At 39.6% G+C, this 10,983-nt stretch overlaps 1 annotated feature.

The window, feature by feature from the left end:
* Positions 8,508-8,802: an enhancer, noted in NCBI's record as "tiled region #135; HepG2 Activating non-DNase unmatched - State 19:H4K20". NCBI's record gives its function as "activates a minimal TATA promoter and a strong SV40 promoter by Sharpr-MPRA in HepG2 cells {active_cell/tissue: HepG2}" and the evidence as "EXISTENCE:reporter gene assay evidence [ECO:0000049][PMID:27701403]".

The raw sequence follows: 10,983 nt of genomic DNA on the forward strand, positions 1-10,983 counted from the left end.
GAGATGGGGTTTCACCACGTTGGCCAGTCTGGTCTCGAACTCCTGACCTCAAGCAATCTACCTGCCTCGGTCTCACAAAGTGCTGGGATTACAGGCATGAGCCACTGCTCCCAGCCCAATACAGTTCTTAGATTTGTTTCTACATAAATAATCTCTTCTGTTATTGTTTTAAATGATCTCTTTCTTTCCAATATATCTGCTAATTGGCTGTTTGACTGTTGAAGGCTATTAATAACTATAGATTAGTTTTGAGCCTACCCACTTTAGAGAATTATTTTATTGTTTGTGATGTTTCTTTTAACCTTTTTGGTTCTCCAAGTATTACAATTATATCATTTATAATTAAATGACTCTTTTACTTTCTCTCCTGTCTAATTGAATTGGCTAATACCTACTAAAATAATATTAAAAACTAATGAGCATAGCGAAAATCCTTGTCTTATTCATTTTTTTCTTTTTCCTAAGTAGATTGTGGTTGGAATCATTTATGTAAATCTTCTCTTGATTGTAAGGGATGCTCCTAATAAGGAAATGCTATAATTAGAACAGTGATAGTAGGACAAATGGGCAACCGGAGACTCACCAGGCTTTCCCAGCTCAGTCATGAGGTATCAGTAAAGCAGTGTAGGATACCAGGTTGGGCCAAAGGATGAAAAGGGGTCCATACACTGAACAAGAAACTAGTAGAGACAGGCATGCTTAAAGAGACTCTTCCACCCTACAGCACCACTAGGTGGCTGGTGAAAAAGCCAATGGTATTTGATGCCTCATTGTGGGTTGCCTCAAGCTCTTTGCTGCAGCGGTCCTCCTTGTCCCTGCCCTGCCAGGTGTAATAATCACAGAGTCCATTGGGTGGACTGGGGAGCCTGGCTCATGCTGGTGGACATACTAATGTTTTCTTCAGATTCTACTGCATCCTTACGATCAGACACTGTTTGACTTCATGGGACTTGGATTACAACTCATATTCAATATGCGCCTTAAAACGACTTTAAATCTCTCTTGATTTTTCACCATTGAATAGGCTGAGACACAGGAAACAATCAAACCTTACCAGAGCTGTCTTGCTACCATTACAAGAACGGCATAATTCTTACTGTTAGAGATAGGGACAGCATACTATCTGTCCTAGATAAATAGTCAACTGTCTGAGTTTTGGCTTAAAAGCCTCCCGAAAACCCAAATTTTGCAGTGCCTATGGTAAACTTTTTCAGTATTTTGGATGTGCTTCTTACCTCATGTAGGGATTCTCCTCAGCCCAGCCATTAGATTACTGGAAAGGCATCCACTGTGACCAGCAACATGCCTTAGAAACTCTCTAATGATCGGTACAGACTCCTTCAGACTGGCCAGTCACCTGGACAGCATGTTTCAGTGATGGCATTTTATAGAACAGAACTCATGGGAAAAACATGTGGCCATGAGGCAATGATGCCCTTTGGAATTTGTTAGTAGCACTTTCCTGGCACCACCATCTCATTTCAGAGAGTATTCCTTGCTTTTTAATGGGGGTTGGTAGACACAGAGTAACATAGGCAGAGCTTAAGCTCTGTTTTCCTTATCATTCGATGAATCCCAAATGAGAACCCCAACAAAGTGGCTGGCTCAAGAAACACCCATTTTTAAGTGAAAGTGGTGTATGCATGGAAGAAGTAAACCGGGTATTAAAGGCATCTCAGAGGTAAAGGGAAAACATCTAATTACCCTCTCTTTGCATGTTTTGGAGCCAAGGACTCAGCTTTCCTGATGGCTTCAATACCCCCAGGTTCCTGAGGATACCTGGTTCTGGTTGTAGATGCATCAGCTAAGTTAAAGGCAGTTCATATACAAGGGGTTGCCAAACCTGTACAGCACCAAAAATCAATCCTTGCATCTCTAGTTGGAATCTACAATCTGTTAAATGGGTAGAGAATGAGCACTGTGGTGCTTGCCCTGGAGAAACAGTCCCCCAAATGAACCTTGTTACATTTTGATAGGTTCCTGGACAGGTACCCTCCTTGTCTTATTTTTATTTTCGTTTCACACTATTAGGCCTTTCTGGCATTATTCCTGACTCTAATAGGATTGCCTTTAGTCCTGACATGTTGGCTTTGGGATTGAAATAGAACTATACATATATGGCTAATATAAATAAGTATAATATTTAAATAGTATAACATATAACAAATATAAATACATCACTATATAATGTATTCTGGAAATATCTACCTATTTCTATTTCAGTATTTAGGATAGTTGTCATATAAGTTTCCTGCTTAGATATTTTAATATGGTGAGTTGTAACACACTATGCATTTCCAGAATAAACCCTACTTGGTTTCCATGAATCTATGCATAAAAAATACAAGCTTACCCTTAAAATATCCTTCACAGAATGACTGTAGCAGACACTATTTATCTACTTGCCTACTGTAACCCATTCCTTATTCCTTTCCCCCTTCTATTAAATTCCAATTTGTGAGGTGTTATACGCATTGCTGTAAATGGCCATCTGTTTCATTAAGCCAAACATTATCAATTATGTTTCTTGACCAGTAATTGAATCAGGATGCATTAGTCTGCTAAAGATGTGTAGTGCTCAAGAAGGCATTCATCTCACCCCATTACATGTAGTTAGGAAGACAGTGGATAAAGATATCATCTTGGAGAGTAAAACCAGAAGTCCAGGTGGACAGGGGACAAGAGAGATCCTCCCAGGAAACAGACTCACAGAGTGACAGTTGGGTCACCAAAGGGGGACTCTCTCTGTTGCTATGATAAGGTTTCCTTGCATTTCTGTCCAGCAGGATATGTAAAATAGGCACTATCAATTAGTGATTACTGTACTCTGTTCCCTCTCTGTCTTCCTTTAGTTAAAAGAAAGATTACTTTCATGGATTTTTCTTCCTTACTATGGGATACTACACAATAAAGGCAAAAAAAAAAAAAAAAAAGGCTGGATTGTCTGTAGAGAATTTAAAAACAATAATAAAATTGACTAAAGTCTATCTGGTTTTGATGATCACCATATGCCAGGCATTCTGAACAATGTCAGTGATAAAAATATCATTTTCCACCAGGGTGGACAGCACCTACTGGCATCTTCCTTCATATTTCACTTTTGATAACATCATGAAAGTAATGCTGAATTAATTGCCAGATTAACCTAGCCTGGGGCTTTTGTATGTTGGGACTTCTTGTTATGTGAAGTATTATTGCTAAAGCCACTTTGAGTCAAGTTTTCTGTTACTCCTCTAGGAGGCCTTACTTGATCCTCTGCGAGGGAGCTAATCTGTATTATCATCCTCTATGCTAACACTATAGCTTTTCTATACCTCTTTGGTCACACTTGTTTGTAATTTTTTATTTGGTGTTCCAATGATATTTTGAAGTCCTTGAGGTCATACAATTTATCTTATTCATATTTATCTTCCTAGGACAATACATGTCATACTGGTTGCTCAATAACTTACTGTCTCCTGAATATATCTGTAGCCTTATCTGGCTAGTGTTATGCAGTCATCAGTGTTAGCATGTTGCTTTTTTGGAATACTCATGCTGCAGTGTGGACAACAGAAATTTAATAAGACTTAATAACTATATATTTGCTTTGTATTCCTCAGACTAGCCATCTCTGTCTTATAAAATAAAACTTCATGGTGTGGTAAGCAATGTGTTTTCTAGTTACCTTCAGGTCTTTTGTTGGTTATGTCTACCCACGTACTTTTTTTTTTTTTTTTTTGAGACAGGGTCTTGCTGTGTCACCCAGGCTGGAGTGCAGTGGTGCAATCTTGGCTCACTGCAACCTCTGCCTCCCAGGCTCAAGAGATCCTTCCACCTCAGCCTCCCGAGTATCTGGGACTACAGGAGTGTGCCACCACATCCAGCTATATTTTATATTTTTTGTAGAGACAGGGTTTCACCATATTGCCCAAGCTGGTCTTGAACCCTTGAGCTCAAGCGATCCACCCACCTTGGCCTCCCAAAGTCTTATGATTACAGGCATGTGCCACTGCCCCTGGCCCAGATACTTTTGGTGAGGGTGTAAGAAGTCTCCTAAATATAAATACAACAAAACCTTTTTAAAAGAAACGTACACTTTCCCTAAATCAGAGCTTAGAATTTGTTAGTCTCCTGTGTTATGGCTGAGAATCCACTAGATGGTACTATTACATAAGTGATCATAATGAAAACAATACACTGAAATTTTCTTCTCTGTTAACTGCTTACTGAAATATTTTGTTTTTCATTTCAAACTGTAGCAGCTTGATTAATGATGTAACTTGGTCTAGCGTGAGGAAGTAAATTGTCATTATTAAGATTTATGATAAACTCCTTGCAAAATAAATGAGTAAGGCAATCAATTAACAGTCATCTAGTAAATTATGTGCATAAACTATTGTGAACTACATGTTATATTTGAAAACTGAGCTCCTTTCAGAAAAAACTCTGGTGTTTATGAGAATGAAATTGTATTTGGTGTGGATTTGAAATTTCCTGCTCTGTAGATGGCAATTTATTGACTATTTGGTGTTTACAAAGTTTTTCCAGGAAATCAACCACTAATCTGGGAAAGTCTAAGCATTACACATTATGCAATTAGAAGATTTGGCTTAGTGGAGCAGCAACATGGAAGCCTCCTTGTCATATTTTCATCAGTATCATGTTCTAGATCTACCTTGGAATATCCTTGGAAGAATCCTTGGAACTAATTCAAGATGAACATGCTACATATAGAATTCTCTTCGGGCTAGGTGCGGTGGCTCACACCTGTAATCCCAGCACTTTGGGAGGCTGAGGTGGGAGGATCACTTGAGCCCAGGAGGTGGAGGCTGCAGTGATCCAAGATTGCACCACTGCACTCCAGCCTGGGTGAAAAAAAGAATAGAATTTACTTTATAGTTTCATTATAACAGAATCTACAAATCACTAAAGTAATGAACATATGGAGAATTCAGAGGCTTGAATGTAAGGGATAATTCTATACTTGTATTAAAAGCAGCAATTATACATATCAGCACCAAAGTCACTACAGTTATTTAAGTACTAGGAAATGTACCCTAATGATGAGCTAATATTGCATTTTTTTCTTTAAGCTCTTTTTATTTTTCTATTTTTAGGTACAGGGTCTTGCTCTGTTGCCCAGGCTGCCGTGCAGTGATATGATCATAACTCACTGCAGCCTCAAACTCCTGGGGTCAGGCAATCTTCCTGACTTGGCTTCCCAAAGCACCACACACAGCCCCCTTTCTTTAAGCTGTTAAATTCCTCTAACTAGGAGTTCTTAACCTCGTCCATGAATCCCTTGAGTGTTCATGGATTAGAAACAGGGGTCCAGCAGCTTTAAGTGGAAGAATTCCACTTATTCTAATTGATATCCATCATTTCCTTTGGTTGTGAATGTAGACAATACACCGTGGAAGTATTATTAGTACCAGTGCTTTTAACATCAACAGAAATCATAGACATTTACATGACATATTACATTTCTTGCAGCATCTCGAAATATCTTTCCTGTTAATCATACTTTAAAGTTATGATGGTCTGGTTCTTTGCTGAATTTTCTTATTAATATGTTAATAAATAAAAAATGCATTATTCTGTAATAGTTTAGAAATGATTTGACTACCATATTTCAGTGTAATTGTTTCCTTTCTAATCTTGTACATTACTTTATGCAATTGAAAATATCATTCTGACAAGGGTTCATAAGTTTCACACCAAACCACCATGGAGATACATAATAGAAAAATGTTCAGAAAATTTGCTCTAAGTCATATTTTGAGATAGAACATTCTGGCTAAGCTAAGCATTGCTCCTCTTCCTTAAAAAAAATGTAGCATCCTTTGGAAGGTGCCATCCAAGGGCGTGACTGACCTAGACGGTAGATGACCTTGAATAGAATCTGTGATGATTCTCCCATTTAGCTACAGGAGTGAATTTAGAAGGTGATTATTTCAAATAAGACAATATTCAGGATTTCTAAATTTATCAGCAAAATAAAGCTTTTTAAATGCAGAGCAGTTGACTTTCAACTTTGTGTAGCAAATGAGATTGAGAATTGAACTAAAAAGGCAGGAATCTTATTTCTTAGTATTCACTTCCCCTAAAGCAATTCAAAGTTTGAGGGGCTAGACTGAAGTTAACCTCTCCATTAACTTACAGGTCCAGGTAACTTCAAGAAGCTAAGAAACATCAAAAAAAATTTCTACCAGGAATAGAGTCAAAAGTTTGTTCAGTAAAATACAGTCACGCCCTGCATAAAGATGTTTCAGTCATCAACGGACCACATATATGATGGTGGTCTCATAAGATTATCGTGGAGCTGAAGCATTCCTATTGCTTAGTGATGACAGGCCTAGACTAATGTGTGAGCTTATATTTTATTTTTTAAGAAAAATATTTATTTATTTTTATGTTTTAATTTTTCTTGAGACAGAGTCTCACTCTGTCACCCAGGCTGGAGTGCAGCAGTGTGATCTTGGCTCACTGCAACCTCTGCCAAGCGATTCTCATGCCTCAGCCTCCCGAGTAGGTGGGATTACACGTGCCCACCACCACACCCAGCTAATTTTTGTATTTTTAGTAGAGATGGGGTTTCACCATGTTTGCCAGGCTGGTCTCAAACTCCAGACATCGGGTGATCCTCCCGCTTCAGCCTCCCAAAGTGCTGGGATTACAGGTGTGAGCCACCATGCTCGGCTAATTTTTTAAGAAAAAATTTTAAAAGTAAATTTTTTTTCTTGAATACAAAAATACTTATAGAATACTGCTGTACAATATGTTTGTATATTAAGCTGTTATTACAAAGGAGTCAAAAGTTATAAAAATTAAAAATTTTATAAAGTTAAAAAGTTACAGTAAGCTAAGGTTAATTTATGATTGAAAAATTGTTTTTTTGTTTTTTTGGGTTTTTTTTTTGAGACAGAGTCTTGCTCTGTCACCCAGGCTGGAGTGCAGTGGCACCATCTCGCCTCACTGCAAGCTCTGCCTCCTGGGTTCACATCATTCTCCTGCCTCAGCCTCCCAAGAGCTGGGACTACAGGCACCCACCACCACGCTCGGCTAATTTTTTGTGTTTTTAGTAGAGATGGGGTTTCACTGTGTTAGCCAGGATGGTCTTGATCTCCTGACCTCGTGATCCACCCACCTCAGCCTCCCAAAGTACTGGGATTACAGGCATGAGCCACCGCATCCGGGCTGAAAAAATGTTTTTATAAATTCAGTGTAGCGGCCAGGAGTGGTGACTCACGCCTGTAATCCCAGCACTTTGGGAGGCCGAGGTGGCCGGATCACTTGAGGTTGGGAGTTCGAGACCAGCCTGACCAACATAGAGAAACCCCGTTTCTACTAAAAATACAAAATTAGCCCTGCATGGTGGCACATGCCTGTAATCCCAGCTACTCGGGAGGCTGAGGCAGGAGAATCGCTTGAACCCGGGAGGCGGAGGTTGAGGTGAGCCAACATCGCGCCATTGCACTCCAGCCTGGGCAACAAGAGCGAATCTCCATCTCAAAAATAAATAAATAAATAAATAAATAAATAGATAAGTAAATAAATTCAGTGTAGCCTAAGTATACAGTGTTTATAAAGTCTACGGTAGTGTACAGTAATGTCCTAGCGCTTCACATTCATTCTCCAGTCACTGACTCACCCAGAACAACTTCCAGTCCTACAAGCTCCATGCGTGGTAAGTGCCCTACACAGGGGTAGTATTTTTAAATCTTTTATAATTTATACTGCACATTTTCTATGTTTAGATATATTTAGATACACAAATACTTGCCAGTGTGTTACAAATGCCTACAACATTCAGTAGAGTAACATGCTGTACAGGTATGTAGCCTAGGAGCAATAGTTTATACCACATAGCCCAAGCATGTAGTAGGCTATACCATCTAGGTTTGTTACATTCTATGATGTTCACACAATGATGAAATAGCCTAACAACACAGTTCTCAAAACATATCGCTGTTGATAAGCAATGCATGATTGTATAAGACAATATCCTAAAAATATAAAAAGACACTGAGAAAACCAGGCCATAATCAATTACACTATTAACTTCAAATTACTGGAATGTTGTAGAATCATCAGTAAATATTGTCTTGGTAGACATACTGCTGATAGACATTGCAACAATTATCTGTGACTAAAACTTTAAATATGTGTTTCATTAAACATTGCCCACATCTCATTCCAATTTAACTATGAACCTCGGCAAAGATTTCTATGATCAATGTGTTCTCTTGGTTCTCTCTCTTTCTTGCTAAAAATGCCAGTTTAGATAGAACAATGTATTTAAAGGGAAATTTGAAAACTTAGGGGAGTTGACGGAGGAAAGAAGGGAGCTTTATGATTTGTCTACTTGGTAGAAAACACTGCGTTACTTTTTCTTGATCTTGTAAAGACATTAATAATTTATTTATTTGTTAAATGTGATTGTCTCTGTTTTCAAAAAAAGGCTTATGGTGCCAAGTTCTCATTTTGTACAGTTCACCAGTGGGAAAGTTAGAGCTTCTGGGTGTGGGGTCAGTGCCCTTCATCCAGAAGGATTTATTGCTGGAGAAATCCAGGCATGAACACTTAGGGCAAGCTTGAGCTTATTGTAATGTAGGGGCCTCCTGTGAACCGTGGTTCATTTGCATGTGGAAAATCACCAGGTTTCCTGCTAGGTCCCTGAACTCTCTCCTTCTGCTCCACTAATGGCTCATGCTCTAGGCATGTTTCTGCCCCTTCAAGCATTACCTTTATTTTTCTTTGCAGCTTCTCTCCTCAGTCTCTGAGACACTCTTCTAATAATGCACCTCAGAGTTACTGGTAACATATTTACTCCACTCTTCTTGCTCAGTCCTTGAAATTCTGCATTACATTGATCAGAATTGATCAGAAACTCAGAAAAGAGTTTTCCGCCTCTTATTCTATATTGCCAAGTTAGTACCTTTCCAAGTTAGTTATCTAGTCCCTAGTTCTATCTATCTGTCTATCTATCTATCTATCTATCTATCTATCTATCTATCTATCATCTCTATCTATATCTATCTATATCTATCTCCATCTATCCTATTTATCATCTATCTATTCATCCTATCTATCATCTATCTATCTATCATCTATTCATCCTATCTATCATCTATCTATCTATCTATGGCTATACACCATGAAACTAATTTTCTATTATGGGTTAAAGTTTCTATCTTTTCACATTAGGTTAGAGTTGTGCCAATCACCATTTTCTCATTAATCTTTTTTTCTTTTAATTCAATACTAAATGCAATATCAGCCAACTTGTCACTGAGATTATGCCATTTTAATCCCTGAATCTCAGTGCCTCCCTGCTTTCCTCCTCATCAATGCTTCAGATGCAGTCAGCATTTTGTCAATATAATTTTGTTCTCATATCCCAAGATATGTTTTCTTATTCTCTCTGCACCTCCTGGAAGTCTGTTCCTCATTTCATCTGAAAGCCATGCTTCAATCTTTCTCCACTATTTCCCTTCTTTAATGCTTTAAAAACATCACCTCATATCCTGGATTTTATTCCATACCTTTTATAGCTCATTCTTTTTTTTTTTTTTTTTTTTTTTTTGAGACAGAGTTTTGTTCTTGTTGCCCAGGCTAGAGTGCAATGGAGCGATCTCGGCTCTCCACAACCTCCCCCTCCCAGGGTCAAGTGATTCTCCTGCCTCAGCCTCTTGGGTAGCTGGGATTACAGGCATGTGCCACTACGCCCGCTAATTTTGTATTTTTAGTATAGATGGGGTTTCTCCATGTTGGTCAGGCTGGTCTTGAACTGCCGACCTCTGGTGATCCACCCGCCTTGGCCTCCCAAAGTGCTGGGATTACAGGCGTGAGCCACTGCACCCTGCCTCATTCTTAATTATTTAGAAAATGTGGGCTATTAAGCCTCAACCAACTGGCATATCCCCAGTCAGTGCTAACACTTCTGTTACATACAGATGAGGATTCACAATTGCAAACATCTCAAAAAAGAATTAAGGTACCTACACGTGCTTGCATGGTGGGTTCTTTATGTGCAACTGGTTCTAGCCCATGAAATATTTTATCAAAGCTACAAAGGTGATCTCAGAAGCTAGAGTTTTATCTTGTGGGGTTGAGTTATAGACCACATCCTCTGGACTGGCCAGTAATGAATCATTCTTTTCATACATTCTTAATCTATAACAGCTTCTCTACCTCCAATTAGAAAAATAATTTGACAGGAAAAAGATACAGAATTTTGGGAAAAGTTTGGCGAAAGCATATAATCAAGGCTGGTTACACAACTTGCTGAACCCAGTGTAAGATGAAAATGCAGGGCCCTTGTTTAAAAATAAAAAAACTTTCCCTTTTCTTCCACAATCTCTCTTGGTCTGTCACAGTGTCTTTTATTTGCTACTTCATGTTGTACTGCCTCAGGCACGGGGACACTTGAGGGACGCCATCCTGTGACTTATGCTTGTGCCCACCAGCTGCCGGGGTCCCCCTCCCACTAGCGCCAAACCACTGAGAGAAATCTGTTTCCCTTTCCTCTGGAACATTTGCTTTAACCAACAGTGGACAGGTGATCCCCAAGGGATTGCAACCTCCTCACCATGATACATAAGGTACCTGGATTGGGTTAGGCAAAAGCCTAGCCCCCCACCACATCTCCTACTAAGTGTGCTGTGGAGCTGCCAGCCCAGAAAGAGGACCTGGCCACTGCCATGTCCCTCCCTGACATATGGGCAAGTGCGTTCTCATATGCATGACTCTGAAGGCTCCTCATGCCCATACCCAGGCCTCCACTGCAGGTGGAGGGTGGCAGCACTAGCTGAGTGGTGATGGGAATGGAAATGGAGGGTTGGGTGGGGCTCAGAGCACCCTGGAGATAAGAGCCTGGCAGGCCAGAGTCTGTCCCAGGAAGGCAGTGGGAGGCAGGACTGCTCTGGAGCCAAGGCTTCAAGTCCTCTGGCACATGCTCGATTGTGCCATCAGACTTTACTTACAAAAAAACGAATTGGA

This window comes from Homo sapiens, chromosome 2 (assembly GCF_000001405.40).
Source record: "Homo sapiens chromosome 2, GRCh38.p14 Primary Assembly".
Classification (NCBI taxonomy): domain Eukaryota; kingdom Metazoa; phylum Chordata; class Mammalia; order Primates; family Hominidae; genus Homo; species Homo sapiens.